A 22796-nucleotide genomic window follows, 5' to 3' on the forward strand; every position below is an offset into this window, starting at 1 on the left:
TACATCATTGCAGGTCACATCTCATTGGTCAGAATCTAGTCATTGGTTTTATCTAGCTACAGAGCTGATAGAAAATGAAGTAGTTACCTGGACAGCCATGGGCTCAACTAAAACCGGGAGAAGAGATCTGGGAGCACAATGAATGGATCTGCCTCAGCTTCTAGCTGAGTTCTTGGAACCCAGAGGGTGAGCAACTGAGACACTGTGTAATTGCTCTTTTTTCCTATGATTTCTGTCTCCCTCAACGTTGAGCCTCTGAGATGTAAGCATTGGAAACATTACAGTCAGATAGTGAAAAGTTTGCTAATCTGACAAGGAACCAATGTTCATTAAACTCTTCAATGTGCATTTTTATAGGGTGTGGCCAAACCCGAGTTAGATAAGTGCAGATGTCACTAGCTACAGGTTCATTTGAACTCCACAGTTCAATTCCCGCCCCCCACCTCACTTCCCCTCTCCCTCTCTCTTTCTCATCCTCTACATTTCCTTTGTGCTTTTGGAATTCTCCTTTTTGTTACAAATAGGTACACAAGTAAAAAATTCAGGGGTTCAGTGGAAACAAACAAGTTTTAAAGTAGAATTTACAATGAGATGCCTGATGAACAATGGTCTATTCGCATAGCTGAAAGCTCTACTCACAAATCTCTTTCCCTTTTAGATTTGTGAGGAACAAGGGATTGTATTCTCTGCACGGGATTTTGCTTCTGGGCTAGGGTTGACTGCAAGTTTATTGGAGTGAGCACTATGTTTTGTTTTGTTTTTACCATAAGGGACTTCTGCAAAGAGCCCCAGTGCTCATCATGTGCTGTGAGAAAAATGGAGAGGGTTTGCAGAACAGTTCTTTCTCTTTGTTCAAAATTAGGTTCAAGCTGAGAACCACTGTGGATATTTCAAGTTCTGTTTTGGATAAAATAAGCAGACGTGTTTGAATTAATTAACTTTGTAAGGCAACTCAGCACCGAGACTGAATTAGTGCTGATGGAAGGAGCACTGTTTCAGGAGTCCCAATACTTCTGTCCCAGCCTTGGCCTTGCCACAAAATCTTCATAGGACTATGGGAAAATACCCATCATTTCTGTGCTGTGGTTCCCCAATTACATAAATTCAGAGATACTTACAGTTCTAGAAGAATGATGCTATAGATACTGCAGTCTGCCTTTGTTATGGTAACAGGAAGACTGAGGTGAGCCTATGCCAATCCTTTCCTCCGCAAACCAGTTACCATCAATCATGCATTTCTTGGAGACCCCTGGGACCTACCCTCAAGCACCCTACATAGTAGATCCTACAATATTTTGTGGCTTAGATTTTATGTATGGGTCTGCTTCCCCATGGGCTTCTTAAAAACAGATCCTATTTCTTATTCATCTGTGTTGTTCCTGAAGTGCCAGTACTATGCTTGGCTAGGTACTGGATGCTTGATAAATACATGAAATAAAAGTGTACCTGATATCAGAAGGCTGGCTAGTAGCAGGGCGGGGTCAAGAATTCAGGTTTCTTTACTTCCACATCAGTCTTTCTCATGCTTGACCTCTCCCTTCCCTTAAAAATAAAGATAAAGATAAAGATAAAGTGTAATACCATGTGCCAGAAGTTCTTGGGCACTAGAGATGCTGGTGCAGAAAGAGATGACTGGTGTCCTCATCCTTTGCTCAAGATTGTTCTGCTTTTTCAGTCTCTTTGTCCTTAATGATGATTTATTCTCATAACATGTTTGTCTTCTTTCTCTCTCAAGAACCTCTGCTTAGAGTGGTCCAAGGAAGACTATATTGCAATGGGTCCCAGAGCACTTTGTAGGAGCTTTGATGCCAATATCAAAAGCCCAAGATGTCCACTATCTTAGATGAAGGCTAACATCTGCTCTCCAAGATGGAACCCTCACATGCTGCCATAAATAAGGCAGAGCACCTCATGCCTCTGAATTAGACACAAGGCACCAAGAGGCAAGTGCCTGGGGCTGTCGCCCAGGTCATCTATGCTTGACACTGCTCAGCCTGCTTACAAATAGGGTTCTTGCTATAGCAATCAAAATAACCACACAAGGCAAGTAAAAGGCACAGACCAGAGTCTGGGGAGGTTCTGAGTGGGGCTGATTTTAGCACACAGAAGGGAATGAGACAACCACAGCCACCGCAATGGGCCGGGAGGAAGGAAGGCTACTGTGGGTCACCAAGAGAAACACTTCCTTCCATTGTCTGGCTATACAGGCTCAGATGAAAATAAAAATAGGTGGACATTGAAGATATGCATGTGTACATCTTGAGCCAGACTCACACAGAGAATCCACTGGGGCTGGAGGCCATAAAGAAATAATTCAGGGCATTTTGGCCCAGTGAAAATGGGACTTAAGAAGCCATGTACAAGTCAAAGACCCAAGGAGGTGGGCGGATTAAACCCTAAGCATGCTCTAAGACATCTGGAGAAGAGTTTCACAGTCCATGGGTCTCAGGTTCTCAGCCTGAGAACCATATAATAAAAATAGTGTGGTAGAAGACACGGGGCAAAGCATGGGGGCACTATCAAATACTCTTTCATAAATGCTGGCAAAAAATGGAAAGCCATGTTTCTAAAAGATTCTCAAACTCTTACCCTATTTCCCTAAGATTTGTTGATAGTCCAGAGAGGGCTATTAAGGGATCTTGCATTCTTCTCAGGCACTTTTTTTCTTCCAGTTAAAAAAAAATTGTATCTTGGAAAATATCAACTATGAATACAAAAATATGCGTAGTAGTTGAATGTATCCCTGTGTACCCACCAATCACCTTCAACAATGATCAACTCACAGCCAATCTTACTTCATCTGGACCCACTGTCTCACTCCCATATTATTTGGAAACAAATTACAGATAATATGTAATTTTATCTAAAATGTTTCATATTGTATTTTTAAAAAATAAGGACTCTTTATAGAAACATAACTATCCATTCTGAAGCTTAGAAAGTTAGAATTCTGTCTTGCCATCAAATAGCCAGTAAATGTTCAAATTTCCAGCCTTTTACATCTAATCATGTCTTCCTCATGGTTCCCTTCAGACCTGCTTTACGCCCATCCAGAGAAAAAAACCAAAGCAGACTTATACAAGCAAAGAAGCTCTGATACCCTGGCCCTTTGGTTTCCACTCTATAGTAATGTAACAAACACATGATATGCCAGGAACAGAGAGCTGACCCCCAAATTGCAGGCAAGCACACTGGCAACATAAAGAGAAAGTAACTGACAAATCTCTAATTCTGGAAGACGCCCAGAGCAGCTGGGCCTGAAGCCAGGAGCTTAACAAGTTTCCATTGTTATTGGCAGCTGACAAATTTAGAAGCAGACAGGGGAACTTCTTATCATGGGGAATTTTGTTAGCTGAGGCTATATGCGTTTAAAAAGCACAATCAACCTGTAGTGAGTTGAGGGATTAAACATGATTTTTCTCAACTTAAATGACCCCTCTCCCTAAATTAAGCTGCCTATTTAGCGCCCTTAATAAATACATAGATAATTTAAACCATGTGGCAGCAAATTGAACACACGGGCTTTTTGAACTATGTATTTTCTTTCTCATGTTGGAACACTTCCCTCGAGAAAAATCTCAGGTCTCATGATTATGGAAAAGAAAGATCTGTGTATCTTTCTGATTAAGCGTCTCAGGATACACACATACATGTTGATCAAGTGTTTTCTTCTTTCTTGGCTAAAGTGAAGCATATGCTTCTGAGAAAAGTGTTCCATCGACACTTCTTTGGCGGCTGCCTGGTCTATTTGTCAACAAAACAAAATGTGAAAGGGTTTTATTTCTATAAAAGTAATTACATTTCAAAGCAGCTTGTCATTATATACCATGTGGCATTACATTGAACCAAGATACAATTTTCTGCCTGATTGTTAGAAGTAACAATCTGTATTCACAAGTCAGTAAAATACTCAAATGTGTATCTTCTCTGTTGCTTGATTGGGAAAAATAATACTCCCAGCTTGAACACCTTGAGGTTGGGACCACATGATTGGACATGCTGGTTTTAGGATCTCTGTATTAATCTACTGATTCAAAATACAGCTCCCACCAAAAACAAATCACTATTTACTTTAATATTAGGAATCTTGATTTTGAGCCAAAAAAGGTTCAAAAAGTGACAAAGGTTTTTAAAAATGATTTCTGTATGATTTTCCCCTCTCTTTTAAATAAATGAGTGCCTCAACTTTTAGCTACATTACAACTTGCTTTTGCCTCTTTCATGTGTGTCCCAAAAATGTTCATAAGCACTTCAGTGTTCATGGGCCCGTGAGACTCATCTGGTCTCCTCATCTTCTCTGTGGTTAGAGTACTTTCTGAGACAGTTCTCACCACAGATTCTCAGAGATAAAGTCTGCAGCTTCTTTTTGGTTCCCTGCTTTTAACCTCTCCGTTATTAAGCAAAGAGTCTTAAACAAAATTCCGTAATAGAACACATCTTTTTCATTTTCACCCCCAAATCTTTTTTTCCAACTTTTACTTTAGATACAGTGGATACATGTGCAGTTTTCTTAGACGGGTATATTGCGCTCAGGTAGTCAGCATAGTACCCAGTAGGTACTTTTTCTACCCATACCACCCTCAATTCCTCCTCCCTCTAGTAGTCCATAGTGTCTATTGTTCCCATGTTTATGTCTGTGGGTGCTCAATGTTGCGCTCTCTCCTATAAGTGAGAACTGGGGTATTGGTTTTCTGTTCCTGCATTAATTCACTTAGGATTATGGCCTCCAACTCCATCCATGTTGCTGCAAAGAACATGATTTCATTCTTTTTTTATGGTTGCATAGTATTCCATGGAATATGTGTACCGCAATTGCTTTAGTCAATCCACCACTGATGGGCAACTAGGTTGATTCCATGTCTTTGCTATTGTGAATAGCATGGCAATGAATATACGAGTGCATATGTCTTTTTGGTAGAATGATCTATTTTAATAGATCTTGAACTTCCAATTTCAAACTACACTGACTTTCTCTTGCTACAAATGCAAACAGAGCATCCTATGGGTAGGCCTTTCTTGGCTTGTGCAAAAGGACATCCAAGACATTTTTTAAAAAGGTGATTCAGTCGCCCCAGAAGGGGGGAAATAGTCACATTGGCAGATTTTGTCTGGTTAAAACTTTGTTTTGTCTTGGAAGATAGACATTGAAAAACAAGTCTTGAAGGCCAGATTTCGCCAGGATGAGAAGGCCTAATTGTCTGAGAGAACATTGGCCTTTTGAGCCCATTAAGGAGAAACATGCCATGGAGCAAGTGCCCCGCTTTGAATTAGTTTTCAGAATGTCCACTGCCTGACTTCTCTATGACAGACTGTCTGATGTCAGGAATCAATGGTATCGTTTGAAGGAGCCGGTCTTTTAGACAGAGGCATGTGAACTTCTTAGGGAGCCTTTATACTGTATTAGTTTGTAAATCTAAATATTGCATGCAGCTCTTGGTTCAACAATGCTCCTCTTTTTCTAATAATTTGCTGAAACTAATTGAATACAGGACACAGCTCACTGGTGGGCAAGTGAAGATGTTTTAGTTAGCTTCTAAGGCAACATATAGCTAAAGAAAGCAAAACTGCCTGGCCTAGGATTTAATGAGGTGATTAACTTAGTGTATGTCTCTACAAAGGATTATTTCACTGCCAAAAGGGTGAAAGATTGGCCTTGACTAATTACTTAGAGGTTATATTTGGAATAGATAACCAGTATTCATTTTATAGATCATCCGAATAGCTAAAAAATAAAAAGATGCAAGAGGGTTAAATATAGCTACTACACATTTCCATATTTTTACTTCTTTACCAGGATTACAGAAATCATAGATTTAGTAGGAGCAAAATAACTATTTGTGATGGCTTGACTCTTAATGTTGGATTTACCGTTACTCATTTAATCACAAATGCAGATGATTTTTCTCTTTGCTTTGTTATATTGAACTCCTGGTATTTGTAAAACATACATACTGCAATGTTGTAACAAGTGGTATATTTTGGTAGTTTTGTCATGCCCAAATCCTAACAGAGGGTTAGTACAACAAGGCCAGTTAATGGTATAACTAGATTAGCTCTCTAGAGCTGTGCTATCCAATATGGTGGTCACTAGCCACAAGTGACTACTTTGATTTAAGTTAACTTTAATTTAAATTAAAGTTGAAAATTCAGTTCTTCAGTTGCACTAGTGCTTCAAAGCTACCGTATTAGACATTTTCACCATTGCAGAAAGTTCTATTAGAAGGCGCTGCTCTGAAAAATCCTAAATTCACTGAGTAATTACTCTAGCTTGATCTCTGCATTTTCTCATCTGGGAAATAAGTAGATGAGATCACCAAGTCTCTAGGATCCTCCCACTTCTGAGATTCTCATCCCAAGCACTTTCCTGATACCTGGGGGCCATGTACAACTCTCAGAAAGCCCCTGTGGTGAGAAAAGGCACTGGTGACCTGGTGAAAACTTCTTGGAACTTAGAGGATTTGAATGTAGTCCCAGCCCTTCAATGCAAGCTATATAATTCTGGAAAAGTCACTCAATTACTTTGAGTTTTTTGCCCATTTATCTAATGAACGGACTCTGCTGAACAATTTCCAAGGCCTGATTTACAATAAAATTCTAGAATGTCATTTTTAAAATACTCCTTGCTGATGATATTGGGTCAAGCAGATTTTGGTACTGTGTAGTCTGTGATGTTTTCTTTGAAAACACTCTAAATTCTCACAACACCTGTTCAAGGAAGGGGAAACTTATTACCATTTTCCTTTTGCTGCAATGGAGCCTTCCCTGTACCCAACAGTTGGAAGGCGCGTGAAAAATTGCCAGCCAAGCAGCTGTTTTCAATATAAAGATTATTGGCATGTGTGCAGGGTATCAGAGTGATCAAAGTTTTCACTTTTTTTCCCAAAAGTTTGGGTGTCTTGTAGACTTACCATGTGAAAAATACTTAGTTTAGTATTTGTGTCTGATTGTTAGCTAAAAAACTATTACCTTGACTCATCAATATTACGAGCAATATAGAAAAAAATTAGTTATTTGATTTGAAAGTTTTGGCATAAATGTTTCCACCAGGATGGGCTTTGTTCAGTTGATGTTAAATGATTAATTATAGAATACTTTAATTTGAGGAGTTTTTCTATAACAGTAGAAGACTAGGGCTAAAATGAAGGAGAAAGATCTATATATTCATTTGAATACTTTTTAATGGCAGGCTTCTATATGGAAGGCACTGTTCTAATGGTGAGCACTCAGCAATAAACAAGAGACAGAAAGTTCTGTTCCAAAGGTGCTTCTATTCTAGAGAGTCTCCTGTAGAGTTTCCAAAGCATGTTCCAAAATGAGAATTTTTCAAGACATTAGAAGAGACTACACGGGCAAACACAGACTGTGCTCACATAAGTTTAGGAAATTGAGTGTTACACAAAATTAAAGTTTTGTTTGTTTATTTGTTTATTGTTGCAGGATTTCCAGAGTTTTAAAAATGCTAAGTGCACTATGAATTTCCAAGACTAGAATATCACAGGCAATGGGAAATAAACCATTTTTTATTCCCATAAATACTTTTTTATTCCCATAGAATATTTCATGAAAATGACTAAAGCTCTGTTGAAAGAAAATAGCTTGGTAGAAAGCCTTTATTGCTGGATAATGGGCTAAGTCATTAGGACTCAAACCTATTACATTCCTTAGCTAGAGTCCATCTGATACTTTTAATTCACTACTAGTCTCCCCAGTGTGGGGTGTAGCCTGGATTCTTTTCCAGGCATATTAAATGCTTGGACAGCCCATCAAATGCACAGCTGGTGCTCAGTCATCCTCAGCAACCAAAGGATGCCTGAGAAGGATCCCAGAGGGTGATGGGGATTTTGCTTTGTTAAATCAGAGCTGTAGCTAACACCATGCCAACAGTGTGGGGTACCCAAAGCTCTTGGATTTTAGACTCAGAAGGCCTGGGTTAAAACCTGAACTCTACCCCTTATTTGCTGAGCATCCTCAGATGAATTGCTGACTTCTCTGAGCCTATTGCCCTGTCTATAAGAAAGAGGAGATTATAGCCGCTCCATGGGTTCGTTATGAGGCTCAGAAGGGATCTTGCGTGTGAGGGTGCTTTGCAGTTTTGGCTCTGACTACCGAGCAGGCCACACTGGCATGGGCCACGTGGTTAATACCCCTCATCTAAAGGGGTATTTTGGCAATGGAGGAAGCTGGGATCCACATTGTCTTCTTACATCTAAATGACAGAACATGGCTCTTCTGCTACTTACAAAGGATTCCTACTCCAGCCAAAACACTCAGCATTGAGGATTCAATAATAGGTACAAATAATGTTCAGATTTATGTAATTTGGGTACAAAAAGTATGCTTATATTCCCAGTACACTTTCAAATATGACATTGCTTATATGTCATTCTTCTTCTTTTTTTTTTTTGTTTAGAGACAGGGTCTCACTCTGTTGCCCAGGCTTGAATGCAGTGGTGTCATCATAGCTTGAACTCCTGGGTTCAAGTGATCCTCCCGCCTCATTCTCCCAAGTAGCTGGGACTGCAGGTGGGCACCACCACACTAGGCTAATTTCTTTATTTTTTGTTGTTTTGTAGAGACAGGCCTTGCTCAGGCTGGTCTTGAACTCTAGGACTCAAGCAGTCTTCCTGCCTTGGCCTCCCAAAGTGTCATTCTTTTTTGAAAAGGGAGCTTGATTATTTCCATATGAATTATGCTATCACCTGATTTTCCTCACAGAGACCAGTGCAATGCAGAAAAGATCACATAAATATTCTTATCATTCAATTATTAGAAAAACTGGAATTTCCTTGGATTATTCTGTGGAATTTACCATCTCCCAACCGCTATTGCAATTATTTGGTCAGCTGGTGGCCTGTCTCAACAGAGAGGGCAGGAAAACAAACAAAAAAAACAAAACTCTTGAGTAAAATTATCTTATCAGTCTCAAGTGGTTAAAGCTGCCATGCAGGGCCCTCTGTGTAAAGAAATAGTTCTCCCCCTTCAACAACTCTGAAAAGTAAAAGAACAAAACTGTGCTCTCTCCAAAAAGCATTAGTGACAGTTAGAAGGCGGAAGGGGAGAGATCTGCTGACTTGACAAACCATGATTACTTTTTACAGCTCATGAAACTGTCTTTTTAAGAGCTGTGCTCTATGACCTTAAGTTTATTGCACTTACGATTCTAGAAATGTCATCTTTTGGAAAGATGAGAAGCCTCAATGAGAAAAGACAAGATTAATAGCATAGCTTTTGCCCAGTGCTAAGCATCTTAGCATTTGTTGCCAAACAGGGAAGAAAATGGAGAGCAAGTGTGCTGCGGGGCTGTGCCATCTGTCAGCACAGACAACCCCTAACCCCACTTCGTTCCTTAATAGCAAGGTCTGTTAGTCTGCTCTGCTTTATAAACTGATATATCATGGCCTAGATTGAATCACGGCTTCCCTCCCTCATAGATGGTGACCTGGAATACATCACATTACTTTCTGTGAGTCCCCATTCCTTCTAGTATAAAAAGAGGGTAGTAACGGCCTTCTCTCTGAGAGTTGGGATAATTGGCAGCTAAAAAGATCTTGATAAAATATGAGTCACGTAATGTCACTCCTTTACTCAGAACCCTTGAATGGCTGCCTGTGTCACTCTGAGTAAAAGCTAAAATCCAGACAGTGGTCCACCAGCAAGACCCAGCAGGATATGGAGCCCCATCCTCTCTGACCTTTTCTCTGACCTCTTTACCTCCAGCCGTGTTGGCTGCCTTATTACTCAGGCAGGTCCCTGCTCATGGTTCTGCCTCAGGGCCTTGACACATACTATTCCTTCTGCCTCGAGCTCTTCTCCCCTAAGTGTTTGCATGGCTTAGATCCTGAGCTCTGAGGACCTCTACCCATATATCACCTTCTCAGGGATCCTATCAACACTATTCACAATTGCAAACTCTTTCCCCAACCCCTTTCCTCCTTTTCTGCTTCATTTTTCTCCAGAGCACTTGTCACCAGATAACATGTTTATTTTACTCATTTATTATGTTTATTATCTGCCTTTCTCTTCTTGAATGAAAGCCAGTGAGGGTAGGGATTTCTTTCTGTTCACTGCTATATCCCAAGCACCTGGAATACTGTCTGGCACATGGCATTCAGTAAGTATGTGTTAGATGAATGGATATTAAATAATAACAAAATTAAAGCACATAGCACTGTGCCTTTGGTTAAAAAAATGGTGGGAGGAGGTAATAGAAGAGGCACTTGAATATGTAGCATGTTCCACATTTTATTCCCATGACTTGTTGCAAGTGTTAAAGAATCAGCCCAGTTATTTGCTAGTCACAAAAGGAACACATGTGAAAGATGTTTTTTTGTTTTGTTTTAAAGAAAATGCTTCTTTACAGAAGAACACCATCTGATAAATACAGAAGGAATGATAGAATCTTAATTCTATCATTAAGAATCACCATTTTATAATCCCTAGTGAAGTCATTGATTCTGGTACAGGTCAACAATAGATGCTAAAACCATAAGATGAAAGATGGATGAAAAAGTGGAAAGCTGAGTGAGGCTAAAATATCAATCCACTGATTTCTCACTAGCCACATAGGTTAAAATATTGAAGAAAAAAACCAAGTATCCTATTGCCTTCCTTTGCAGCATCGGGAGCCCCAGGAGATAAGAGGGAGGCAAGGAGGAGGGGCTCCTGGAAACCCACTTCCACCCATCCTAGAGCCACAAGCAGAGACCCTGAAATTTTTTCAGGACAGGGCTCCTGACACATGACATATGGCCCAGAGCGTTCCCCCACTGGTGTGTGTTTAGAGCAACTTGCAATCTTTAAACTTAGCAATGGAGCTTATGAATGAATTATATTAGCTAATGAAAGCAGTGAAATACTGAGCTATATTTCCCCATTTATTCTATTTTTGCTTCACGTTTCCTTTCATTATTAGACAATTTGATTCAAATTCTATTTAAGTTTTTAAAAAAAGCAACCAGTTACCAATTTCAGTGGTCTCATCTAGCCCCCTTATACCTCGTCATGCTTATCCTACAGCGGACCAATAGTCCAGAAGCCACTGCTGAGGAGGGAGCTTTGCAAGCCTGATTTGTCCACCCTCCCTCTCTGTAAACTGTCAGGAAGAGCCTGGAATAGGTATTAATATTGCTGGTAATTGCACAGCCATTGAGTGCTTTGATTTTTGCAAAGAGAGAGGCGACAAAATTCAGTTGTAAAGTGACTCCTGCGGAAACCAGGAATTCAGCGCCCATAAAGAATGGAGTCATCCGGCCCTAGGCATCCTGACGATTAAATACTCTATGAGGAGGTCCCACTAAGCTTAGTTCCTTTTTCTTTTCTCCATGTTCTGTTTATTCCTTTTGAAAGGAAAAGCAAAACTAGCTTTCCATACCCAGTGGAGAGTTTATCACGGGGAATAAAATGTCAACAAGTCTTGAGAGTAGCTGGGCCCTAGACTGCATGGGGACTGGCTTGTAAGTGATAGCATTTTAAAAACCCATGTGACATTTCACAGGAAAGCAATACAACATCCCAGCGCACAGTGCAGTGAGGCTGGCCAGGCCCCAGAACAGAGTGGCCTCACTAACCACATTCCTTCTTCCTGAGGCCAGCCTTGGGAATTCCTCCTCCTGGGTTTGGCAGGCTGGCTTTCCACTAGAAAATTTGCATAAAATTTAAAAATTTAAGTTTGCTGGTGTTAGAAAAAATGGACAGTGAGAGACCAGAATGCACTACCCCGAAATATGAAGGATTGCTGAGCTGATGGCATTTAAGAAAGAGCAATTACAAGAAAGCTCTCTTCCCTCAGGAAAATACTTTTACAGAGACAAAAAGGTATTCTTTTCCCTCTCTTCCCCACTCTTCTCCCATGGAAAACAAAGGCTAACCACTGAAGACAAGCTTTACTAACTAACCCTTCCTCCAAATTGCCACCAGCCCATACAAACTCAGAGTCCTTTCCCTCTGTTTTATCATTTCTCTAAAGATGTACTGTTCTTTGTTGAAGATGCTATATAAGCTGTACTTCAAAGCCGTCTCTTTGGGATGGACTCATTCCCTGTGTGTCTCTTATGTATATATAAAATATACATGCTAATAAACTTGTTTTTCTCTTATTAATCTGTGTTTTGTAACAAGCTGGCTGGGTGGCCAGCTGAAAAATTAATAGAGTTATTATTTTTCACCTACAAGACCAAAGATGTACTTGGTGTTTCTGATTATATCATAGCCAGAGGGCAATTGTGTGGAGGCCCGCATACCATAGATCCCCTAGTCTCTGGCTCATTTTCTTTCCCTCTTTGAGCGTAGGACTCCCAACTTTTATCTCCACGGACTCCATACTTAAAAACTTGATTTTTAAGCTTGCGCTGTGTCTTAATGTCTTAAGTGATAGCCCAGATGGCCTTCTGGTTTTCATCTAACTTTATAAAATAGGCCTACCTGATATTCTCCTTGGATGAATGCACTGGGAAGTCTAGTGGATGAGGTCCTGGAGGGCTAGTCTGAGCATAGTCAGAGGTGGGGTGGAATGATCTGCCAGACGTCGTTTCCCATGAGTTTTCATGATCAGAATCAAGGCCTAGAATCAGGAGGCAGCCCAAGAGAATCAGCTCAGGATCGGGAGCCACATGGTCAGAGTATGAGGCAAATGGTCAGAACAGAAGGTCAGGTTGAGACCTGGGGAAGCTCCCTAGATCACAGTGTGTCGTTGCAGAGGCTTTTAATGTGGCACCCAGTGCCTTGAGCCTGAATGGGTGGACTGATGAAAAGAGCTAAGAAAAGCAAACATCTCCAGGTACCCAATACCAATTTTGAGGACCTGTCCCAGCCCAGGAAAATACACAAATGGACAATGGTCAACCCGTACATGCCTGTAGGGCTCTGACCCATCAATGAAAAGAGTCAAACTCTGTAAGATATTTGAAAAGATTTATTCTGAGCCATATATGAGTGACCATGACCGTGACACAGCCCTCAGGAGGTCCTAAGAACATATGCCCAAGGTGGTCGGGGTGCAGCTTGGTTTTATACATTTTAGGGAGTCATAAGACATCAATCAAATACATTGAAGATATACACTGGTTTGGTCCAGAAAGGTGGGGCAACTTGAAGGAGGTCGTGGGGGCTTCCAGGTTATAGGTAGATTTTAAAATTTTCTGATTGGCAATTGGTTGAAGGCGTTATTATTAGTAGAAAGAAATATCTGGGTTACCATAAGAGTTTGTGGAGATGAAGGTTTTATTATGCAGACGAAGCCTACAGGTAGCAGGCTTCAGAGATAATAGATTGTAAGGTTTCTTATCAGACTTAAGGTCTGTGTTGATGTTGATGCTGGAGGATATAGTGAGGCAAGTCTGACTCTCCTTCCCCTCATGGCCTGAACCAGTCTTTCAGGTTAAATTTTAGAGTGCACTGACTCAGGAGGAGGTCCACTCAGATGACTGGGGGGCCTTAGAATTTTATTTTTGGTTTATACCCACAACCTCTGCAGCAATTGACCCAGAACAATAAGGACTTGATCAATGGTGGTCAGCTTCACTATTTTTTGCCTCCCCTTGTAACTCTGAACTACTCAGAGAAGGTCAAATATGGTCCCCCAAAACAATCATATAAGATGCGCCACTTCTATTTAGCCTGACTCTGAATGGCCTATGCCAGTGACCTCCAATCAGGGCATACCTGAAGCTTCTCTTTTTACCATGGAGGATGCCCACTCCTCCACCTGTCTATGAGTCTGCTAAATATTAATACAAGCGATGCAGCTGACTCCCTTACTGTAGACCTGTGTGTTCTCATTTGGATAGTCTTCATTTCCAGAAGATCTAGATCTATAATAGACATATGAAGATTCATTATTTAAACAAATATCCCAAGAACCCACACATCTAAATAGTGCCATCCTTTTCAAGTAGTCTCTTGGAAGAATTAAAATATACTCCAAGGATACCATTGTTGGGGCTTTTTAACTCCTGTAGTTTGGCAAGCAGGAGGGAGTGGCACCCAGCAGCTTCTTCTCTCCTGTTGTTCATTGAGCAGGAGAGAGGGTTACAGCTCTTTTATTCCTGCTGCCTGCAGCTTGGCAAACGGAAGCATTACAGCTCTTTCACTCCCACAGGTTGGTGAGTTCCAGGTTCTTGTCCTGCAACCAAAAGGAATAAGGTACACAGACAACAGAGAGTGAGTAAGGCAGAGTAGAATTTTATCGAGTGACAGAAAGAAAGCTCTCAGATGTGAGAGGAGACCTGGAAGTGGGTAGCCCTCTGTGAGACTGAGTCCAGGGTTTTTATGGGCTTACAATGGGGGAGTGCATGCTGATTGGCCCATGGGTGGTCTCGGAAAGCACCATTCGATTGGTTAAAAGGCATCATTCAGAAGGAATCAATAGAGAGAGAGAGGGTAAGATGGGGATGGAAGTTCTCACTCTGGTCATGGACTCTATCTGGAACTGGCAGCTTGGTTTTCAGATTTTAAACTGTTCTTGGCTTGAAGATCAGGTTTCACCAGGGACTCATCCCTGTCTGCCTAGGAATTTGTCTGTCTCCTGTTGCTATCACCATCATTTCTCAAAATATTTTTGGCAGTTTTCTTTTTAGCATTGAATTTAGAGCCAATATGGAATTGTGTAGTGAGTTTACTCTTCATCTGATGCTTTCACATTTTCAATCATTCTCCCCCCTCTCTCTCTCTAACATAGTAACAATCCCTGCTCCCCTGTACATTTCATTTCTGGCCTAGAATATGCCCTCTGCCAGTGGCATTATTAATCTTATTCACCAGCCTTGTCTCCAAAATAACTTCTAATCATTTCCCTGATTAACCCAATTCCCTGCAAGAGTTTGTTCTTTACCAAAATGCTATTCCAAAGAGTGACTCAAGGTTTTTCTATCTGTTTGAGAGGAGACTTGTCACAGACTCTACCTCTCTTTGCATTTTGCAATACTGGAGAATATAAGCAAACATTTAATAAATTTTACTTTGTCCCAAATACTCCCTAAGTTCATTCTCCACCATGTCCTTCCTCAGATGGGGGACACTTCCAGTGTGCATGCCAGAGTGGGGAGAGCAGACCCTCTATCACTGGCAAAGTAGATGGTGTGTTCTCATTTCTTTGACACACATGTGGGACAGACTTTTTTGTGCTTTTTCTGTTCTTGCCCTGCAAATGGTGCAGCAGCGTCTCTGGCAGAGACTTGTTTGGGGGAATTATAAACTACGTGAATACATGTGAGTTGCAAGCAATCACTTTTCTCAGTGTGAATTCCTACAATTAAATGGTAGTTGTCCCTATATATCACTGCTTTCATTAGTAAGGTTCAAACATCAGAAGTCTGCCAAGTGACTCTCTCAGTTCAGGTGAGTTTATAATGATTCTGGCTCTTGTAAAGAAACTGAACAAAGCAGCTCTGGGTCAGCAACGTTCATCTCGTTAAAGCCTGGGGTTGCACAGACAAATGTTCAGGGCATGCTGGAGTGTTCACTATGTACACGGCTGTAGAGCTAAGAGCCCAGTGAAGCACAATTGCTGGAAATGGTCTATAAACAATTCATAATAAGGATATTCAAAAGGGGCACTTTGCTTTGAAGTGATAAAATCATTGAATTGTTCAGAATGCCCACATTGATCCTTTGAAATTCTTCAGTCATTCCCCTAGTATGGTATGCTATGAGGTTGGAGATGCCTGGCAGGATGTTTGAGCAGTTTCATTTTAATTCTTTACTCTATATTAGCTCTTGGGGGGGGGGAGTGGAGAGGAAGTCTCCCCAATCCTTCTCCTCTCATTCTTGTACCTGAAGAAATTTCCTGCCCTGTCATTCCTTTGAAAACATTAATTAGTGCTCAGAGATGTATATTGGCACACCCTTCCTGTCTGCACAAATGACCTTGGGGCTGACAGGAAAAATGAAGCCGACTCAGAGTCTGGTGATTGCCAGTCTGCACATTATCTCCTTGCTGAGACACTACAAGGTAATGAGGAAAGGACATTTCCCCACAGATGTCACCTGTGGGGGAGATGGCAGCCATTTTTCAAGAGCCCAGGCAGCTCTGTGGAAGAGGTTACCCCCAGTCTGCTGTCCCTAACCTGTGACTGAATACCTCTCATCTATTCTGTAGCACTCTGTGCTGATCTCCCTCATAAGGCATCACTCTAATTGCTTGTTTACACATCAGTCTCCCAAGAGGCTGTAAACTCCTTAGGGCGGGGGTTGTATTTTAGCATCACTTTATGACCAGCTGAATCAAATCAGCAACAGTGAGAAGTGACCAAAATCAAAATTTGATGCCAAGCATTTTAGGGAATCAGGAAATAAAATATGTAAAAAAAAAAAAAATATATATATATATATATATAAAAATATGTGTGTGTGTATCTATCATATATATGTACATCTATCATGTATATACATATATGTGTGTATGTATACACATGTACATACATACATTGGATGTGTTGGAATGGCATAGTTTTAGTCCTCTGGGAATTATTTGTAGAAGACATATATCCGTGTAAGATAAATCAAAGTCAAAATTTACCATAAAACTAATGATCATTTTCCAACTGGCTTCTTATGAGACTCAAAAAACTTCACAGACATAAAAATCACTTTGAAAACATAATGCTTTTTAGCGATAGATAATACGTTACTGATAATTAATAGACAGATACAGCTGTATCTATATAATCAATATTGTGACATGTCACTCATAAGTACTTCAGCTTGCATTTTCTAAGAATAAGGACATTCTACTACATAACATTTTCATTATTATAGCCAAGAAAAAATAACATATAACATATCTAATATACAGGCCAGATTTGAATTCCCCAATTTTCCCAAAATTGACTTTCATATATTTTTTTCTCTGATCCAGGATCCCGTCAAGATTCACACATTATATTTGGTTGCTATTATCTCTTTGATCTCTTTAACTATAGTATAGTTCTCAGTTCTCCTGTCTTTGCACTTTTTAAAAGTTTTTTGTAGAGACAAGGGTCTCACTTTGCTACCCAGGCTGGTCTCAAACTCTTGGCTTCAAGTAATCCTCCCGCCTTGTCCTCCCAAAGTTGGGATCCTTTGTACTTTTTTTTTTTAATGACATTTTTATGAATTCAAGGGAATTGTCTTCCTGAATGTCCCATTGTCTGGTTTTATATGATAGTTTTCTCATGATTAGATTCAGGTTAGCCTATTTGGTAAGATATTGCACATAATTTACATTTTTAAAACATTATTTTAATCATAAATATAGTATAGTACTGTAGCAGAAAACTTGGAAAGTAGAAAAGAAAGAGAAGCCACCAATAATCCCACTGACCTGACTCACACGATAGCATTCCAATGCATTTCCAGCCTTTTCCTTATTATTCTTTTTAGCATAGTTTTAATTATATTGCCAATCCAACTTTGTATTCTGGTGGATTTTTATGTAATATCACATCCTAAGCAGTTTCACTGTAAGTAATGGCATCAATACTAACAATATTAACTGCCATTTATTGAGTACTTAATGAGTCAGAAGCAGTATCAGGCAAACTATATTTATTTATTTATTTTAAAGTTCATTACAGCCGTATGAAATAAGTTCTATTAATATCCCTGTTTTAGAATTGAGAAAACTGAGACTCTGATACCACAGCTGGTAATGGGTAAGGAAGAAATTTGAAACCAGATGAATGTGATTCTATCCCACTATCTGTCTCCTATAATTTCTATTGAATGTGCTTTGACCTGTTCATTTCATGTAAACACACTAGTAGCTCTTATCAGCTTAGGCCTGCCCTGCTGCTTTAGCATATTTGACAAACCCTAACTTTTTCTTTGGACTGCCCCTTCAGCTTATGAGCAAAGCCCTGCACTGGCTTCAGAGACTAGTGCTATTTTTTGCCTAAGAACTTAAATCTTAACCAAATTTGGTTTACCCAGTCTATTTTTATTTCTCAAGGAGGCAATGCAACAAAGTCATCAAAAAGACTGGGTCAGGGGTGGGTGAATAAAATCAATCAAGTGAGACTACTGCCAGGGCCAAAGTCTTAAGCATTCCAGGCTTAAATTCCACCACCATGGGTGGTGGTGGCAGGTTTCTGTCCCTGGGCCCCAGAGGCCCCTCTTCGAGGAGGTATTGCCCCTGACAGCGGCATGGCTGTGGATTGGGGATCTCTCTTCTCTTCGGCTCTAATAGGAGACCCTGAAATTTAAGCTGTGCAAAATGATCCTGATGTAAAGGGCCTCTGACCCAAGCACACCCCAGTGATTAGAAATGTGTCAGATGTCAAAGCCTGAAGAAGCACAACTTCTAATACTTCTCAATGCCCTTTAATGTGGGTTATATGCCTACATTTGTCTTACAGCTCATGGTGCCATCCAGGGAGGAGGCAGCAGCAGTAGGAGAAAGCTTTGCCAGCACAACCTTTGGGAGGGGTGTGAGCACAGCACAAAGGAGCCTAATGCATTTCAACCGCAGCCAAGTTAGTGGTTTAGACTTCATAAACATGTTTTAAATGTTATGACTCTTTATGCCATGGCATTCCTACTCCAAAGGATAGCTACCTAAAAATTTAAATATATAAAAAATTAAAAACCCCAATTCAGCAAATAGTTCAAGACTTTGATGAGAAGAAAAGCTGATTAATCATTTTCTTGTTGCTTGCCTTTCTTTTGACATTTTTCTGACCTTTTCCAAAACCATTACACATCTGGGATGCTCAATCATTTACTAAAAGGGTTAAGGCAATATAACCTCCTTGTGATTAAGAATAAAAATGAAGTGGAATGGAGTCCTTCACAGTTTTACAGTTTTACTTGACTCAGGGGTTGGAGGTGGTGATGAGGACCTAGAAAAGTTTCTATTATAATAATTTTCTTTAGTATTTGGTATTGAGAATGATGGGAAAAAATCAAGAGATGTGATTAACCCATGAAACTAGCTATATTTGGTTACAGACTGCCCTAGCCCTATAAGTTATTTTGCGATGCTATCTGTAATGCATTTAAAGAGCCTGTTGTTACCGACATGTGTCAGTTATCTATTGCTATCATGATGCTTCATAAAAAATAAACACAAACGTTCAGTAGCATATGATAATAGATATTTATAACTCCTGCATTTGGAGTGCTTAGCTAGGCAGTATGCTGATCTTGGCTGTGCACGTTCACATATCTGGGGGTAAATTGGCTGTCAGCTGATCAAGGCTTCCCTTGACTGGGATGATTGGGGCAATTTGGCTCAGTTCCAATTATCTTTCATTCTCCAGCAGACATATTCTTGAGGCAATGACAGAGGCACAAGAAAGCAAGCCTCAATGCACAAGACCATTTCAAGTCTTTTGTTGTGTCATATCTCCTAAATTCCATGGGACAAAGCTAATTTTGAGCCCAATTTCAAGTGGTGGAGCAGGTTACCTTATCCACAGTAGGAGGACATTACAAAGTTACCTGCAAAGACCTCGTTAAAGGGATGGTAAAAACCTGGGTCCGTATACCAGGTGATACTATGTCGTGTAGGGTTAAAGTCAGTATGAATTGTTTACCAACAGCTAACATCCAGTGCAGATCCAATCATGAGGACAAGCTGTGCAATAACAACAGGCACGTTGGTGGCTGGTTTCATAAGCCAAGGTAGAAGAAATAAGTTAGGATCAAAAAGTGACCAGGGCTGGGTGGTGGCTTACTCCTGTAATCCCAGCACTTTGGGAGGCCAAGGCAGGTGGGTTGCTTGAGCCCAGGAGTTCAAGACCAGCCTGGGCAACATGGAGAAACTCTGTCACTACCAAAAAAAAAATTAGGCATGATGGCATGTGCCTGTAGTCCCAGCAGCTTGGGAAGCTGAGGTGGGTGGTGTGCTTGAACCCAGGAGATCAAGGCTGCAGTGAGCAGTAGTTGTGCTGCTGCACTCCAGCCTGGGCAACAGAGCAAGACCAAGACCCTGTCAGAAAAAAAAAAAAAAAAAAAAAAAAGGTGGCCAGAAATGTAAATCCTTCCTAAAGTGATCTGTAGATTCAATGCAGCCTCAATACAAATCCTAGCAAGATCTGTTGTAGAAATCAACAAGCAGATTCTAAAATTTTTATGGAAAAGCAAAGTAAACAGATTAGTGAAAAGAATTTGGAGAAAAAACAAAGTTAATCTAAAGAATTAACTCTAAAGCTACAGTGTCAAAAGTATGCATGTTGGTGAAAGAGTCACCACAAGTCAATGAAATTAAACTGAATCCAAAATAAATCCACAAATATAAGGATAATTGATTTTCAACTAAGGAACAAAGGAAATTCAATGGAGGATAGTTTTTTTCAACAGATGTCAGCGAAACAGATACCTATATGCAAAAACATGATTCTCAACCCATCCCTTGCCTCAAATACAAAATCAACTCAAATTGGAACATAGGCCTACATGTAAAACCTAACAATAAGAAATTTCTAGAGGAAAAGATAGGGAAGAGATTTTTGCAACCATCGATAAGTGCTGCTTTCTTAGCTAGGCCACACACAAAAATTAAGTAGGACTTCATTGAAATAAAAAGTGCTGTTCTTTGAAATATACTGTTAAGAAAAAAAATAAATAGACAAGCCACAGACTGGGACAAAATATTTACAAAATACGTATGTTATGAAAGACTTGTTTTCAGAATATATAAAGAACTCTGACAAATAATAATAAAAGTAAACTAACAACCTAATAAAAAATGGCCAAAAGACTTGGACATTTCAGCAAAGAAGGTATGTGGAAGGCAAATGAACAAATGAAAAGACACTCAACAGTATTCGTCATTAAGGATATGCAAATTAAAAACAGTGAAATACTGCCATACCTCTTTTTAACAATAGAAACTTTAAAACGGCAAGGTCAAGAGCTGATAAGGATGCAGAGTAATTGGAACTCTCAGGTATTGCTGGTGGTAATGCTAAGTGCCACTTAAGAAGTCAGTCTGACAATTTCTTATAAAGTTGAATGTCACTTATACAACTGAGCATTTGGATATTTACCCAAGAGAAATGAAAACATAAAGCATTGGAGTATCTACCCGAGAGATATAAAACATCTTCATGTTGCGAGGCATTATTCACAACCTCCAAAAAATTACGAACAACCCAAATAACCACCGCCCAGTAAATAAATGAACAGACTCTGTTACATTGATACAATGGAATATGACAGCAATTAAAGAGAATAACTTGTGCTATATGTAACAACACGGATGAACTCAAATGCATAATGCTAAGTGAAAAAAAGCCAGACTTAAAAGACCACCTGCTCTGTCCTTTCATATGAATCACATGCCACAAAAGGCAAACTATAGGGACAGTAATTGCCAGGGGCTGAGAATGGAGAGAGAGGACTGATCACAAAGGTGCAGAGAGAATGCTCTAGGTCTTGATTGTGGTGGTGCTTACACAACTGTATGTGTTTTTCAAGATCCATCAAACTGCACACTTAAAAAGGGTAAATTTTACTGTATATAAATTATACCTTGAAAAACCTGACTTTAAAAAAAGGGAAGCCAGGGAAGCAAAAGACAGAGCCAGATACATCATACATCACTAACTAGGTGTGTAGCTGAAGCTTCTGTTCCAGCCGCTAAGCATGTGCTGAGCCACGTGCCACCTTTTCTTAGTCTTTTCAGTCAACAGCTATTGTTAGAAAAGACATCTTGAACCAAAAGCTTAGACATTTTAGTACTCTTTTACCCAGATTCCTTTTCTAGAAATGTGTCCTACAGAATGAACCTTAAATTACTTAAGCGCTGATGATGCCTCTTGTGCAGCTCTCTACAGCAATAGATGTAAGAAGTGCTCACTTTCTGAGCTTTGAGGTCATGTGTCTAACTTCTTCTGTTTCCCTTTAGAAAGAATGTGTGCTTGAGTCAGGTTGGTCTGCCACACCTGAGCATTCCATACTCTCTTTAGTCAAATCTCTGGGTTGATAAAATTGATTACTGAGGAGATGATAATAAGATGCTTAACTCCAGATTCTACAGACTGCCTTGGTCTATATCATAGACTATATCTCAGGCCATACCTGCAGGAGGCCCATGGCAGCTTAGAGGGCTGCCTTGTAGAAACTTTGGTCAAATCAAGTCACATCCTAAAGAGAAGAAAGTGGCTAACTTTTAGAAATTGCTGAAACAGATCCTTCTATTGAATAGAAGCCACCCTGAATGGTTGCTCACTCACCATACAGCCTGGAAGAAACCAGGGTCTCTCCTAGGTTCCTATGGAGAGAGGTCAGAGTGTCTAGTCTAACTCTCAAACTCACTTAAACCACCAAAGAATTCACCCTCAGTTAAGATTTGGCTTTATGGCAGCTGATTGGTGATAGTACTAGGGGCAGGGGAGGTAATTGCCTCACTTCCCAAACTTTCAGTCCTATTGGAAGGTGACACAGCTGTAGTTTTACCCATCTTGAAAATGAGAAGGTGATTGGTCCAACCCCCTCTTACATAGATGAGGAAATGAGCACTTGAGATCTAACTATAAAGCCAGTTAGTAGCAAGTGGTGCCACTGATTAAGCCTCCTGATATTCGGTTATGTGTCTGATCAGCTAGCTTCAGACTAAACTGAGTCTTTTGCTTAATAATTTGCCTAAGAAACGCAGATACAACACACACACACACACAAACACACACACACGACAGAGAAAAATACAACTACCATGCATCATGTACACATCCAATACTAAGGAATCCAAATCAATTCTTCTTCTTTTTTTATTATTTATTTATTTATTTTATTGTTATTATTTTTTGAGACGGAGTTTCACTCTTGTTGCCCAGGCTGGAGTGCAATGGCACAATCTCGGCTCACTGCAATCACAGCCT

At 40.1% G+C, this 22796-nt stretch overlaps 1 long non-coding RNA gene across 1 annotated transcript; it reads right to left on the reverse strand.

Annotated features, from left to right (window-relative positions):
- Positions 1-1261: 1261 nt before the first annotated feature.
- LOC107984568 (uncharacterized) lies at positions 1262-14180 on the reverse strand. The gene is made up of 3 exons (XR_001750074.2): positions 13928-14180; positions 12421-12739; positions 1262-1542 (listed from the first exon to the last, which is right to left on the reverse strand). It is a non-coding gene; the product is annotated as an uncharacterized LOC107984568 (long non-coding RNA).
- Positions 14181-22796: the final 8616 nt, after the last annotated feature.

This window comes from Homo sapiens, chromosome 13, assembly GCF_000001405.40.
Source record: "Homo sapiens chromosome 13, GRCh38.p14 Primary Assembly".
Taxonomy (NCBI): Eukaryota; Metazoa; Chordata; class Mammalia; order Primates; family Hominidae; genus Homo; species Homo sapiens.